Here is a 16,269-nt window from a genome sequence, read left to right as displayed (position 1 = left end):
AGGCCAAGTTGTAAAGGTAAACTTCTTCAGCTGGCTAATTTCCCACCCCACCAAAGAAGCCGTGTTCTGGTGATTCTCAAAGTGTGGTTCCTGCACCAGCAGCACCTGGGAACTTAGAAATGCATATTTTCAGGCCTCAACCTGGACCTACTAGATTGGAATCCCTGGTGGAGGAGCCCAGCAATCTGTTGTAACAAGCCGTCTAGGTGATTTTGACGCATTCTCAAGTTCTCCTATTACAATGCAGAGGAAAGGTGGGATTGGGGTGGAGTCTGGGGCCAAACGGTGCTCTTCCCCAAGTAACTTGGCAACCCTGCCATGTCCTGATGCTCTGAATCCCATGCCCAGCTCAGTCACCAGGTGCGGATGCCTGATTTGGCCCTCATTTCTCCTTTTTGTAAAATAATATCAATAATAATGAAAATGCCAAAACACAGCCTACATTTTGGAGGACTTAAAGGTTTACAAACTTCCATGCTCAGGTAATAGGTAAGTTAAACTCGTACTATTCTCCCCATACCCATTTTACAGGTGAGAAATCTGAGACCCAAGATTTCATGGTTGTTGTTTTTCTGTGAGGTGCATAAGCTCTTGGAGGATCCAGGTCTTGAAGCAAGCACCTGTGGCTTCCCAGGCCTTCCCAATCCCGGCGTGTTCAGAGATGTGGGCTTGACATTGTACAGCTGCCATCGTGAGCCCTGTCTTCACTCCCAGGCCGTGCCAGGACACTCACCTTGCAGAACCTATGTGTCATCCCTAGTCACCTGGGAATGATTAGGTAGCAGGAGCAGGTGGCCTCCCGAGAGAGGGCCTGACTTCCTATTTTCTCGCAGTGGGAGACTCTTTAGCCTTGCCCTCCAAGGTCAACAAATACCATTCCTCAGAGGCTGAGAAACAGAGACAGAAAGTGTGAAGAAGGGAACCAGTTTTAATCCCCTCCCTGTAAAGACTGGGGCATAGCCCTGCAGTGTGTAGCAGCCGCATTGCAGCCTGTGGCTTGGGAGGAGCGGTCGTCAGCAGCTGTTAACGTGCAGGTCTGTCCTAGGGGGAGGAGAAAATAATAGTCTGTAAATGCTTCCTCTCGCAAATCCTTACTAGGCAGATCATCTGCGACACTGTGGGGATACCAAGGACTCTGAAGGGAGGAAAAAGATTCCTGTAGTTTATTCTTAAAGGAATCCCCAAACCAAAAAAACACTACCCCAAGGCTTCCAGCCATGCCCCTCTGTCCCTATTACGTCTCCTCATTTATGGGGATGGTCTGCCATGGCCCAGGATCTGCAGCTTTCATTTCTCGACAAAGTCGCTTGGGATAATCCACTTTTTGGCTCAGCAATGCTCTTCAAAATGTGAATACAGGTATTTAATGGGCTTCTGCCTGTTGAACAATTAATGTAAAGGTCAGTGAGTAATCTCCTGTTTGCTCTTTTCATCGCCAGCCCACTGCTTGTACAACTCCTTCGTAGCATTCTTTCCAAATAGGTGGGAGGGCTGAGGTCACAGCTCTGCTTTCTCCAGGCACACAGACCTTAATTAGGTTGCTAAATTAGCAGAGGCAGGGGCAACCCTTCTCTCTGCACACACCCTCGTTCTTGGATGGACAGTGAACTTTCCTTTTGTGATCTCATTGGTCTTTCTCTCTTTCAGAGAAGGGTTGGCCAAGTAGGGGTTTCCCCCAGATAATCTTAGCTACCCGTTAGTAGTCTCTGTCATGAACCAGGCACTGTGATGGGGTCACTACAGCCTTTATGTTACCACAAAAACCAATGTGTCTTTGTGTGTGTGTGTGTGTGTGTGTGTATGTGTATGTGTGTGTGCATGCGTGTGTCTTGTCTTCTACGTCTTTACTTTGTCCTCATCACTGGGCCAAGCTCTTTATATGGATTATCTCATTTAATCTTCACAAGAATTCAGCAAGGAAGTTGTTCTTGTTAATCCCATTTTACAGATGAGGAAGTTGAGGCTCTGGAGCTAAATAACTTTCCCAAGCTCAAAAAACTAGTAATGGCGTGGACCCAGGATTCCAACCTGATTCTCAATCGTACCCTGGAAAATTTGCTTTTCAAAGTATGACCAACAGCAGAGGGACATGACCTGGGAGTTTGTTAGAAATGTAGATTCTCAGACCCACTGGATTAGAATCTTCATTTTGACAAGATTCCCAGGGGATTCATGTGCACAAAACTGTGGAGACTGCTTTGTGCTATCTCCAACAACTCTGGCTAATGAATACCAGAATCCTGTGCATTAACTACTAACTCCATTTGCCAGCAGAGGATGTTGTGGTTTAGAGGGGTTAGGAGTTGTTCAGGGACAGCATTGAGATTTGATTCTGGCCCATACTCTCAAACCACAGAGGGATGTCAGTTTTTATGCTAAAGCTGGTGTGCTAGAGTTTGCCTTTGCCTGCTGTAGGCTCAGAACCAAGTTCTCCACGCTAGACCTCTGTACTCTTCTGTCTCCCTGTGTCACCAAACGAGGACTGATTTGCTGCCCTCCTCTTTGTCCCCATCCTACAGATGTGCAGCACATTAAGAGGAGAGACATCGTGCTGAAGCGAGAACTGGGTGAGGGAGCCTTTGGAAAGGTCTTCCTGGCCGAGTGCTACAACCTCAGCCCGACCAAGGACAAGATGCTTGTGGCTGTGAAGGTAAACCCCAGAGGCATGCCGGCACCAGGAGGAGGGCTGGCTGAGGGCCCAGGGAGGGAAGGAAGAGGCTCCCTCCATTTGAGAAGATAGTGCTCAATTGGCTTTCTCAGATGCAATCAAAGGACTTTGCTCCGAGGTCAATGAAGTTTCCTAGGGACCAAAACAACTTCCTTTGGCTTCCAAGGTCAAGGGCTGCAGCACTTAAGGGGGCTATGCCAGGGGAGCAAGTTTATTCTTGTAAATGACCCTGGTCCTTTTTTAGTGGCCCTGTGGTTACCTCTGTCCCAGGCCTGGCCCTCCACACTCCACCCTTCACCATGTAGTGGCTTTACAGGACGTGCTGTCTGTGCCTGGAAAGTCACATGGCCATTTCTCAGTAGCTGAGCTGTTGTAGAGCAGGCTGATTAAGGAGGACTGGGTAACCACTTCCCAAGGGCACAGAAGTCACTGAGAATAGATGTTGAGGGAGGGGGGTGCAGCAGGGAGGTAGGGGGTTAGCACTGGGAGAATAGTGAGTGAGGTTGGAGAAATTCTTAGGTACTTCCCATGGGTTTCAGGTTCAGACCCCAAGGGGCAGCATGCCTGGGAGAAACTTCCTCCTGGCAGCTGCTGAAGGGCTCCCTTAACCACAGGGCTTCTGTATTGCCAAGACACGTGGCAGATTTGCAGCAGGAGCTGAATTGCTTGGGGTAGGAGAGAAGGGACTTTGCTACTACTAGTTGTCCTTCCAGACTCTTCCACCCAGCAGTCAACAGCTTCTCTTTGTAAACCAATATTGGACAAATTTTTGAACATGGTTAACATAAAAAGAGTCAAGTAGCCTCATGGAGGCACGCACAGATCTCTGGAGCCCTTCTCTGGAGTCTGGAGTGGCTTCATTGGGTGCAGTGAGCAGGCTTCTGAGGCCAGTGTAGAGCCTGCAATGTCCTGAGATGTGGGCTGACCGATGCCAGAGATATGGCTCCCCGTGAAGACATTCACCCAGACCTCACAATGGTCCCATCCTTAGCATTGAGGGATCACAAATGCAGTTCCTGTTTCTTCAACTTTTGGGTCTCTGTATTCATAGTCTTGTGTATCTACAGATTGTTTCTGTCCACAGAGGGCAAATAGCCTCGAAGAATGAAGGCAATACAGTGCAGGCATAGCATGGGCATCAAAGAGCCTGGGTGCAAATCCCAGTTCTACCACTGATAAGCTTTGGGACATTTCACAAAACACTCAACTTCTTTGGGCCTCAATTTCCTTATCTGTATAATAGCAATAATAATATCCTCTCCTTAGAATGTTGGGGATTAAATTACATAATGTGTCTAAAATTCTTAATGCACTTCTTAGGGCTTTTTATTGAGTAAAGACTCAATAAAAAGTAGTTGGCATTTGTTTCTATCATTATCATTGTCATTGATGTTGATATTACTGAATGTGCTTAGATACATGACATATGATCTGCCAAGCTTGCAATGACTATCTAGAATAGGAGTCACCAAACTTTTTCTCTAAAGGTAAATATTTTAGACTTTGAGGGCCTTATAACTCTCCATTGCAACTCTTCCTGTGTTGTTGGAAAGCAGCATAACAATACATTCACTAATGAGGGCGGGTATTTTCCAATAACTTTTTTTATTACCAAAATAAGCATAGTTTGCTGACCTCTGCTCTAGAAAATAAACAAGAGTCCTGCATCCTAAAAGGCTAATGATTATTATTGCTGTACATCCTGTAAATAAACTTGCTCAGTGTGCCTGCATAGACATGAGATGGTCAGATGGACAAGGGTGTCTTTAAACAGCTTGGAGCAGGGATGTAGAAAGGTTTCTAATGTTGACCCTAAACTTAGGATCTGCACTGCCCTGGCATTTTTAATATATAGGATGACACTAATCCACGGGGTGTTCCGGCATCCATCTGGGGACTGGAGAATGAACTGAACATTTTTGCACTTTCAGCAGAGAATGAAATGATGGCTGAAAACCCTAGGAAATGTTTCCCCGAGTGGTCTGGCATTAAGGGGCAGTACCCAGACCGAGTAATGCAGAAAATGTGTTTCTGTTTCCATCCTTTTAAAAGGATTTCCTTCTTTCCTTGGATCTGGAGGAGATGAACCGTCTGGGATTTTACACGTGTCACTCAGTGGATCTGCCTAGTGGTCAGCCTGGAAAAGATGCCTATCTCCTCCAGACAACGTCTTGGAAGTGGTGTTTCCTGCTTCCTCCCCTCCTTAGATTCCACTTCTTTTTGCAAGACCCTTCCTTTTGAGTTAGTTCTCATGTTGATGCAGAGTAATTTTATACCTCTAAAGAACACATACAAGTATAACCCACAATAAAGTTTTCCCAAATCAATTGGCAAAAATGTTTTGCCCAGCAGTTGCTATGGTACAAACAAAGAAGCAGAAACCACAGCCTATTTTTAAGGTGCTTACAGCCTGCTGGGGAGAGGGAGCAGGATTGCACAGGACATAATCTGCACATATGTGTAGTATAAGTGTGACATTAAAATAACCTCATGTGTGCGACTCTTAAATAAGTGGTGCCACTCTGAAATCATCATTAGACAAATAGAACATTTACACAGCATTCAAACCCAGTCAACCCCCTTCCTTTGCAGAGGAGGGAATGAGATCCTTCTCCCCATTTTTCCTTTTTTTTTTTCGTCTCTGTCATTTCATACTCTGTCCCGGGTGAACCTCAGTGGTCTTCTGATTCATGAATTCTTCATGTGGTTTTATCTGGTCTAAAGCTTTTCCTGTCTGTGGAGGTTTTTGCTTTCACTTCAAAGACCATATCTTTTATTTCCAAGATATCTAATCGGTTCTTAATTTTGTTACCTTAATTTTATTTCTCCCCCTTCTTGTGGCATGCCTTCTTGTTTTCTTTAGAAAATGTATTTCTTCACTCCTTTTGAGCATTTACTTATTTAAAAATCTTTTTGAGCCATTCTAATAAAATTGATTTATCTTCAGGAAATTTATGTCCTGATTTTTGATAATATTAGTCATTTGGATTTAGCATTATATTTCTTCCTGCCCAGCACCCCTGGGCAGCTTTTGGGTTCCTTTTGGCTTGAAGGGTGTTTTGGTTTTTGTTTTGAGTAGTCACAATTTCTAGTTTCAATTACTTTAAATTGAAGCAGGAGCTTAAAACATTTGTGAAACAATCTGAGTGCAGAATCTCGGATTTTTACTATTTTCCCAATGTTTTTATGCTTTTTCCTTCCACTCTTAACAGTATTTTTAACCACTGACCTTTAGCAGGTTTTTTAAAAGCATTCATCCTAGCTTCCATAAAAACTCTCCAATCTACATTCATATTTCATTGGTTTCTAGAACATTTCATTACATTAAGTAATTACATTAGCAGGTTTAGTTGTCATGAATGAGTTTGGGAACAATCACTGATGACTCTTGGTAAGCCCCTCTGTGGGAAAGTAGTATCTCCCTGGGTATCCAACTTGCAGGGAGTGTTCAGGATCTCATGTTCTGTAGAGGTCATAAGGAGTGCCAGCTAATCTGGGCTGTCATGTAGACACAGCTCAGTGGAGAGTTTTCTGGCAAAAGGAGGAGCAAAGGCCCTGGGGCAGAGAAAATCTTGGAGAGTACGGAAAGGCCATGAGACTGAAGTGTAATAAATGAGGCAGGAGGAGTGTGTGCGAGGACAGGACGCAAAGAGAGATGGGGAGACCAGACCTTATAGAGTCCATGACTATGTTAAGGAGTTTGGATTTTATACTACAAACACTGGGAAGCCAATGGCCAGTTTTAAGCCAGGAAGACAGATAAGAGAGGGGCACCCCTGTATGTAATAACTACCCATCTTCTTTCCTGGTAAAGTTGTGTGAGACTCTCACCCAGAGGAAGTGGCAGTGGATTTTGAGTCACTAAAAGAAAGATGATTTTATAATGAAAGGAGGTTGATAGGTGTGCATGTGTGCGTGCGTGTGTGTGTTTTACCACTTAGGACTTTGAACATTTAGGAATGTGTGTATATCATGTGTATATCATAAAAATGAATTTCAGGATATTAATGAAATCTGAAACTGAACATTCTTTGAAATATCTCCCCCTAAAAAAAAAAAAAAAGAAAGTAAGATGGAGGGCAGCAGGGTTTGGATGACATGAAGATGCTGAATGACCCAGGAAGAGTTGGGAGCTGTCGAGAAGTTGTGTTCTTGCCATCTAGCCTATTTTCCTTCCATCCAAATAAACAGCCTTACTGAACCCTCTCCCCAAGGCAGAGTGGACATGACAGCTGATGCACGTAGAGGGGAAGATAAGAAAGGGAAATGTCCCCAAACTTTGGAAGAAAGAGAGGGAGAGAAGAAGGGCAAATTCTAGCTCTCCTTTTTGTACTAAAGATACTATACAAACGCCTGAGCCAGGAGCCTCCCCAGCTTCAGAGACCTCTTGGCAAGATGCATGTCTCTACACTGATAGTTGGTAACTATGATAAATCGGTTCTTTCCCATGCCACTGACTGGTGACCCATTTTGAGGTTTCCCAGACATGAAGATGTTAAATGTGGACCCCACGGAGAGGGGCCAGAGAGTCACCGGCCCTATTTTCCTCCTCATTATTCTCCTCCTGTCACCTCTGTTCTAATTGCATCAGTCCCTGGGGACAGGGCCACTGGCAGCTCCCAACCCTAGTTGCCATACCCTACGTTTGGCCAATTAGGTAAGAACTTCAGGTTTGACTCAAGAGCTGGAAAGCCCACTTTGAAAGCACAGAGAAGGGATGTAGAAGACTGAAAGTAATGGTGGTTGCTTTGTGCCCATCTCCCAAATGAAGAACCCATCTCTGCCTCACAGTGCAGGGTGCCAGCCTGGGGGATGCTTGCTGGTGCTGCTCAAGAGCTGAGAACAGAAATATCCCAGGGCTGTCATTGACGTCCAGACTGTGGGAGAGAATGATTTAAAGAGATGGAGAGAGGCCATTTGGCTGGCCCCAAATTTGACCTACTTTTCCCTCTCATAAATCCAGCATTCACATAAATCTTTGTATTCTCCCATCCCACCCATGCTGGGTTCAGTTTTTTCCCCTTCTTCTTCTTCTTCTGCATGAAAATAAATAAACCACTCTGCATCATTCAATACCCATGACCCAGCCCATACAGCTCAAGGCTGCTGCTGGGAGCTGGGTCCCCAGAAGAGACTGTCTTTCACCATGACTCTCTGACTTCTCAAATGTCTTTGTTCTGGCTATAGGTAGACATTACATCCTATTCGTTTATTGTTAGGTAGCTTCCCAGAGCAAGCAGCCAGATTTGAAGTGGAGAACACATAGAATGAGGTCTGGTAAAAATCAACATTGGGCTGATCACATGTCCTTGCCCTATCCTCAAGCCTGGCACCTTTGCTGGGCTCAGCCACTCTGTTGGCAGCCAACATCCCACCCCTTTCCTGACCCTCTCTTCTATACTTCCATGTCCTTTTATTCCTCTGCCCACCATTGTCTTGGGGACCTGCCTAGTGACTAATTTATCCCATAAATTAATTCAGGCAGGTGTGCTGGGCAGGAAAGTGTCCTGGGCTCCAGACTCAAGCTGTTACTTGTTACGTGATCTTTGGCAAGTTACTTCCCCATCCTGAACCCCAGTTATCTCATCTGTAAAATGGGAAAGTTACACTAGATAACTTTCGACTTTTTTGTCAGCCGTAGATTAATTTAATCAAGCAGTATTTTTATGAAGCCTCCAAATTTTAAAAAGAATAGAAGGTGGTGCTGGTTGAAGTTGAAGGGGGCTTGATCTCTGGCTGGAAGACCACACCTCCACTTGATGACCTTAGAGGCATTGCTACTGAACTTTGGGGCACTGTGAGGCCCACCAGGAGAGTACTGAGGTCCAGTCAAACTCTAAGTGTCTGTCATTTAATTAGTGTGAATGTGAGCTGATTCCTGGACAGGCTCAGCCTCAGTTTCTCCAACTCCAGAAATGAGCAGGTAGGAGTAGATGATGTCTAGGGCCCTTTTCATACTAAAAGTCCATCATTTCTGGTGTGTGCTAAGGGCTGAGAGGTTTGATGGACCCCCCCAGATACACCTCTTTTGGCATATTCACACTACTGCAGTTCTAGAACCAAGGAAGCCCTACAGATTTCAGATAATGGGGCTGCAGGGACAGGAGAAAGATCTCTGGTGAGGGAGACATTTTGGCACTTGCATGATCTATAGGAGAGGTCAGTCATCCTGAAAAAGCCAGATGCCTAGCAGAGAGAATGCAAACCAATCTCTAGTCTGTCTAGATTGTCACTCCCCTGAAAATGGTGAGCCAATATTACACTCACTTCCTCATTACCTTGTGTTGTGTCTATTGAGATTGCTAAAGTGTGTCAGTTGAAACAACTCAATGTTGGGCCCCATTTGCCTTCTGGCCTCATAGGGAGGGTGGAGAGGCTGGAGAAATCGGGGCGCCCACCTGCATAAGCTGCTCCTCATGCAGAAAGGGCCTCTCCTCTTCACAGACCATTTTCCATCTGGCCAGCATTGCTGGGCCCATGGCAGTGCCCTAACCAAGGTCCTTCAGATGTGCTCAAAGGCTTCATCTTTGGCCTTGTAGTCCCCTTCTGGTGCTGGGAAATCCACATGCACAACTTACACTCTACCTGGGTATATTCATCTTCCTGGGCCCTACAGGAAGTGGCCTGGTTTGCACCTCTTTCTCACACTTGAGTTTTCACCCTGACAGAGGCTGAATGGTGGCATTCTGGTGGCCCCCAGATGCTCCTTTCCATCCTGCACTAGGACTTTGAAGGACTCTGCCTGGCCCTGAGTGTATCTGAGATTTCTGTCCACTAACTGCCATTCCCGTAGCTGCCGCCCCACTCTTCCCACCCTATTGCTTCCTCCAAACCCCTATTGGGAGAACACAGGTGTCTTCCAGAGGTCAAAGTGCTCACTCTCCTCTGCAAATGTAGATACCTTCACAATCTAAAAGCAAGGACTCCAAAAGACAAGGATATTTTATTGTGTTGCCTGCCCAGTTTCCAATAGGCTATGAGCATGTGACTAATTCACAAAGCTAAAGTATTGGGGCAGTGGTTTTCACACTGTTTATTCCAGCTGTGGGACAGTTTCCTCAAAGAAAACCTTAGGAGCAGGGGCTTTTGCCAGGCTTTCCTCCTCACAGCCCCTCCAGCTGCCATGTACACTCACCTGCGGAAGCCCAGGGCTCTGTGAAGAACAGAGCTTGAAATCACTGGAGAGTGCACGGGATGTGGATGTCAGAAAGTGGGTTTCTATTTCTGCAGGGATGAAAATGCTGGAGAAGGAAGGAGTCAGGCCTTATAGTTGAGATTGAGCTTCATTGTCTTTAAATTCCATTTAGATTCATATTTATTGGTAACCCAGTGGTGTGTGGGGCCAGTTTCTTTCCAGGAGTAGAAAAGACAGCCCCCTGCCCTGTAGTTGTTAAACACCTGTGTCCTGCATTGTTCCTAGGCCCTGAAGGATCCCACCCTGGCTGCCCGGAAGGATTTCCAGAGGGAGGCCGAGCTGCTCACCAACCTGCAGCATGAGCACATTGTCAAGTTCTATGGAGTGTGCGGCGATGGGGACCCCCTCATCATGGTCTTTGAATACATGAAGCATGGAGACCTGAATAAGTTCCTCAGGTAAGCAAGGATTGTCTTCCCCTGCACCTGACCCCAGTCCCACCGAACCCTTGGGGTTTTCCCTGGAGCCAGAAATTATACTACCCCCTCTAAACACTTTCCTCTCAGGATGAGAAATTAGATGAACACATTCATTCTTATACATGATCTCCTTAGCAGCCAGATTCAGGCCTTTGTCCCCGGTTTGTAGGGAAAACAAGTTGAGGATACTATGATAAGTATCCTATACTATTCTTCCTCATTCCAAAATGGACAGGGTCTGGAATAGGTCCAGAAGGAGTCTGGAAGCCCCACAGCCTGTGGCTTACAACTCCAAGATTCTAGGGCCACCCTTCTCTGATGTTGCAAATAGCTTTCTCCCTTTGTGCCTTAAGTTTCTCACTTGCAAAGTGAGGCTAGTATCTTACACCCCTCCTGGAAACCTTCCTGCTAGAGACTTTTTGATGATGAGTAAGAAGGTCCAAGGTTACAATTCATCAGGTGGCAGAGATGGTTGAAACAAAAAGGGGACCGATTTTCTTCAGGCTAATTCTAGAACTGTACAGTACAGTGTCCACCTATGGCCACTTAAATTTAGATTTACATTAATTAAAGTTCAATAAGGTTTAAAAATTCAGTCGCACTAGTTCCTTGGTTGCAGTAGCCATATTTCAACTACTTGTTAGTCACATGTGGCTAGTTTTTACCATACAGGGAAGCACAGTATAAATGTTTCCATCAATAGAAAGTTCTATTGGATAGTACTATTCTAAAAAGAAAGGATTTGTTGTAAGAAGGGTTTCTCCGAGCCTAGAACAAGACCATCTGGACTTCGAGGGCTCTTAATGTAACTGGTAAGAGACTGGAACGCCAGCCAGAAGTTCTGGATGAAGTTTCAAGGGTGGCTTTCCCTTCCCAAGAGAAGACAGCATCTATTGCAGAGTTAGGACTCCTCTGCCTTCTGCAGATGCCACTTCCAAACAGTGCCCAGATGTGGAAGGGACAGCCATGTGAAGGTCTTTGGAACCCAAGGCCCCAGGAAGCAGGTTAAACACACAGGCCCTGTATACTTAGGGTGTGGCCTCTGCGACCACCACAATTTGAATCTCATTGAACTCTGTGGCTGAGGATAAGATTTCCAAAGTTCAAATGTAAATTATAGAAGGCTCTAGCCCACTCACCAAAAACTGCTAAGCATCCTCTTGAAGTGGGACATTCAATAGGGTGTCGTGGTTTTGAGGGGCAAAGAAATGAGTTAGTACCAGGCAATGGAATGGAGGACTCTCTGGAGCTCTGCTTATGAGTCAGGTTTCTATAAAGATGGCCCTAAAGGAAATGAAAGCATCTGTGGGATGTTCTAAGCCTTCTAAACCTGGATTCACAATGAAATGGATTCCTTTCCTGGAGAACTTTGTCTTTAGCATAAGACAGATTTGGGTTCATATCTTGGATTTGTCACATCTTAGTTGCAAATTGGAGCAAGTTATTAAATCTTAATTTTCTCTCCTAGAAAACACGACTATTAATAACTGCTTCACGGGGTTGTTGCTATGAGTATTAAATGACTATATGTATAATGCTTAGACAAGTTTTGCAAGTAGTTCAGTGATCAGCCAATGGTAGCTGCTATTGAAGTTATTACTATTACTATTTTGTGAGAATTGTGAACCATGGTAGCTTCTAATCTAGGCAACACTCTTTCTCAATATTCGGGATAGCCCTCACTTTGTCCTTTTGTTCCCCTGGGGCCCAAAGGGCATGCCCTACTTTTCACCACATCCTATCCTTACATTCAGCAGTATCTCCAGCCCCAAGAGCCACCAGCAGGGTTAAAGAAAGCTCCTAGGTGCCTCTGCACTACTGTCATACATGATAAAAGGGAAGAGAAAGAAGATAGTAGGAGGGAAATAAAGAGTGAGAGCCTAGAGTAAAGATAAGGAGTGGAAGAAGCAGAAAGTAAGAAGAAAAGAAAAAGGAGTACAGAAGAAACAGAAAGAAGTGTATAAGGTGAGGGGCAGTGCCAGTGCCTTGCCTTCTCCATGGCAGACAGCATGGGGAATGCATGCCTGTGAGTACAGTTCTACAAGGACTTGCTGACACTCTGAAGACCTCTGTGTCTCTATGGGATCCCTTCCTGAAGACAGCATGGGGGAGTCTCTCTAAATCAAGGCTCGACAGTCTTCCTGGGGCAATTTTGCAGCAAAATCTGAACTTTAGCCTCCACTACTGACCAGATTCCCAGTAGGTTCCATTAATCTGTCTTCCTAGGCTCTATCAGTCGAGGGTGACCTTCTAAAGAATTCTCTGAGACCAGAAGCTCTTAGCAACAGGCCGCACCAACCCTTCCTGGGAGGCATCCTGTCGGCTGTTCTCACAAACACAGCCTCCATAACCCGCAGGCCAACCCTGCCTGCTCTCACATCTCCATATTGGTGGTGTTGAGAGGCAGGCTGGAGTGCACTCTCCAGGCAGACAGAAGGGAGGGCTTCTCTGCTGACCCCTCTTCCTTGTGAGCTGATGCAGCCTTCCTCCTTCTGAGGAGTGAGGTAGGCAGAGCCCACCGGAGATAGTAAAAGGGATGTGCTCCTACTTAATGGTGCTTTTCAGAGGAAATCAGAGAAGCAGTAAAGCAGGCAGAGGCCTTGCTGTACACCAGGGCTCCTTGGTCCACAACTTCATAAATAAGGGCCCTGGGTGTGGTTACGGCTCACTGGGCTTTCTAGAGAAAAGAGTGAATGCTAAAAGTGACTGATATGATCAGGCAAGGTGTTAGAATAACAAATCCGGGCTTGATTTGGGATGGAATGGGTTCTGGGGGTACCCCAGACCCATGCTTCAAGGTCAGAGGCTCTCTCCACTGTGCACTGCTATGGCCATAAGTTACCCAGTGCTAAGCGGTGTGGTGGAGTGGTTAGGAGTGTCCCAGGGCCACTGAGCGTGGACTGCCAGCATCAGCCCTGGGAGCTAGTGGGAGATGCAAATGAGCAAGCTCACCTAGCCAATCAGAATCCTAGGGGGCAGGGCCAGGGAATCTTGGAACAAGCACTCCCAATGTTCCTTTTAGAAGCTCACTTTTTACAGTCACATGTCTGGTTTCAGATCCTACTTCCTGATTTCCCATATGGCCATTCTGGACCTCTGGGACTTTGGCTGAGCAATCTCATCATTTTGTGCCTCAATTTCTTTATTTCAAAATTGGGGTGGGAAAATTGAGTGAATTACAATATTTAAAACAATCAGAGCATATAGTAAGGGCTATGGCAGAGTTATTTGTTGTTTTGCTAATTATTCTATAATAGACATCTAGCACCTGTGAAAATCCTAGGAAGCAGTGAAATATTAAAAAGAGTAGGTTTATTCCCTCTTCCATTTGAGTATGTCTGCTCTCATCTTAGCCAGAATCTGGTTGTGGAGTTTCACCCTTACCCACACGTACATAATCTAATTTGGGGCAGATAAAAATAAGCCATAGGCAGGATGGAAAGGGAAATTTTATTTATTTCTGTGGGGCATTCCAGAGGGCAGGGACCCAGGAAGGCCTTTCTCCTTGATCTCCTGATTTCTCTCTGCCCCCTCTCTTCTCCCCATGCTCTTGCAGGGCCCATGGGCCAGATGCAATGATCCTTGTGGATGGACAGCCACGCCAGGCCAAGGGTGAGCTGGGGCTCTCCCAAATGCTCCACATTGCCAGTCAGATCGCCTCGGGTATGGTGTACCTGGCCTCCCAGCACTTTGTGCACCGAGACCTGGCCACCAGGAACTGCCTGGTTGGAGCGAATCTGCTAGTGAAGATTGGGGACTTCGGCATGTCCAGAGATGTCTACAGCACGGATTATTACAGGGTAAAGTGACTTTCCCAGCTGCAGGACTCAGCCACAGAGCTAGCGCCTTGCTTACATGTCTTTTTCATTGTCCATTAACCCTGTCACTCTGGCACACACATATACACACCCATGCCCAGACATGCACTCAACAGTTATCTTTTGGCCTCTCTTGCATCTTGACATACCTGTTTATTATGTTCTCAATTGCCCACTCCTTCTTTCTTCTTGGACATTTAACTGAACTGTAATCTGTACATTGCAATAACATATGCATTGTGTTCTTACGTGCTTCAATACTCATTCTTCATGTAAACATACTCATACATGTATATGTATGTGCCCAAACACACACACAGACACACCCAACTTGATACTACATTTAATGTCTCCCTACCCAGTCCCAGATCTAGCCTCACCCATGACACATTTTATTCTCTGAAATTATCTTGTGATTATGTAAGAATTATCTTGTTTCCAAAAGTAGATCTTGATGAGAAGAGGAAACCTAAGTAAAGTAACAAAGATGGCTAATATATTGCTGAGCATTATCCAAATGGGCTGGAACAGATGAGGAAAGGAAGCATGTTATCTGTTGCCAACTTTGGAGAGAGGACAGGTTAGATCTTAGAAAAGCTTTCTGATTGTGAGAAGATCCATCCTGCTCAGTTTTACCTTCATATAGTCATCTGCTTTACATTAACAAGAGTCTTATTTTGCTCCTAGAATCTTTTTTTTTCCCTAAGTCTTTGGGAATCTTTTTTTCCATGGATTATTGACTGATTCTGATAGTGTTATTATTTCCAGGGAAAGGATGAATGGCCATGAGTGTCACTTATCTCAGCAAGGGGAAGTATGAGTGCAACCTGAGACACAGAGATAACTTCTGCAAACTGAGTGAGGGCAGATTGCTAAAAAATACAGAAGATCCAAGGCTGGGAGTGGTGGCTCATGCCTGTAATCCCAGCACTTTGGGAGGCTGAGGTGGATGGATCACGAGGTCAGGAGTTCAAGATCAGCCTAGCCAACATGCTGAAACCCTGTCTGTACTAAAAAATACAAAAATTAGCTGGGTGTGGTGGCATGTGCCTGTAGTCCCAGCTACTCGGGAGGTTGAAGCAGGAGAATTTCTTGAACCTGGGAGGTGGAGATTGCAGTGAGCCAAGATCACACCACTGCACTCCAGCCTGGGCGACAGAGCGAGACTCTGTCAAAAAAAACCAAAAAAACAAAAAAACAAAAAATCTATTTTTGGGACATCAAAGGAAAGAGGAGTTTGGATAGACATTATAAGGAGAGTGTGGGACAATGTTTTGGAGGTCAAGGGATGTCATATTCCTTTTCAGCTGTTATAACAAATACCGCAGATGGGATAGGTTACAAAAAACTGAAGTTTATTTCTCATGGTTCTGGAGGATGGGAATTCCAAGATCAAGGTGCAAACAAATTAATTGTCTGGTAAAGGTCTGCTTCCTCATTTATAGATGGCCATCTGCTTGCTGTGTCTTCTCCATATGGCAGAAGGGTTAACAGATCTCTCTGGCATCTCTTCCATATGAATGCATTGCCCTCATAACCTAGTAACTTCCCAAAGGCCTCACGTCCTAACACCATTACCTTGGGGCTGTTTCAACATATGAATTTGGGGGGTACACAAACATTCAGTGTATTGCCAGGATCATGGCAGCCAATTGTCTCATCTTTGGAGAAATGAGTGATCATACCGTGAGTCAAATAGATATGATTGTCCTGTTGACCTGAGCATAGTGGACCAGAGGCTGGGAATTTGAGGTGTGTGCAGGTCAGTTCTATCTTGATGTTCCTGATGGCCTAAATGAGATCACTCAGACGTTAAAACAGATCAGTCAAGATACTTCATTTTAGCAATAGGTTGGAGAAAAATGGAATGTTTGAGAAATGACCTTGGTTGTTAGAAAATGACTTGTTTGTTGTGCAACCAAAGAATGGCAGATGATGTACCGTTGTGAGAGAATATAAGACAAAGCATACAGTGTCCACAGCAAGCTGGGTAGCCTCACTAGCCACCTGTCCTATCCAGTATTCCCAGGTATGGAAAAGGAGACATGATGTGGCAGTAGTCATAGACCGATGGCCAGGGCAGACCTGCCAGAAAATATCAAAGAGGAGTCTTTCTTTAGTGTCTAGACCATATTTTTTATTCATTTCCAAGAGAGGCATTGGTGTGGT

The 16,269-nt window shown here is 45.3% G+C and overlaps 1 protein-coding gene across 18 annotated transcripts in view; it reads left to right on the top strand.

The window, feature by feature from the left end:
• Positions 1-16,269, top strand: part of NTRK3 (neurotrophic receptor tyrosine kinase 3) — a 396,989-nt gene that overhangs the window by 313,467 nt on the left and 67,253 nt on the right. For all 18 annotated transcript variants that reach the window (XR_001751292.3, NM_001243101.2, NM_002530.4 and 15 more), the window contains 3 exons: positions 2,520-2,650; positions 10,089-10,261; positions 13,839-14,082. Coding sequence is in view for 17 of the 18 variants with exons in the window: in NM_001243101.2 (NP_001230030.1) it covers positions 2,520-2,650; positions 10,089-10,261; positions 13,839-14,082 (548 nt within the window). In the remaining variant the exon portion in view is untranslated. The remainder of the gene's footprint in view (positions 1-2,519; positions 2,651-10,088; positions 10,262-13,838; positions 14,083-16,269) is intronic.

The sequence above is a fragment of the Homo sapiens genome, chromosome 15, assembly GCF_000001405.40.
Source record: "Homo sapiens chromosome 15, GRCh38.p14 Primary Assembly".
NCBI lineage: Eukaryota > Metazoa > Chordata > Mammalia > Primates > Hominidae > Homo > Homo sapiens.
The sequence above is the reverse complement of the archived record's forward strand: the minus strand, read 5'-3'. Positions and strand labels throughout refer to the sequence as shown.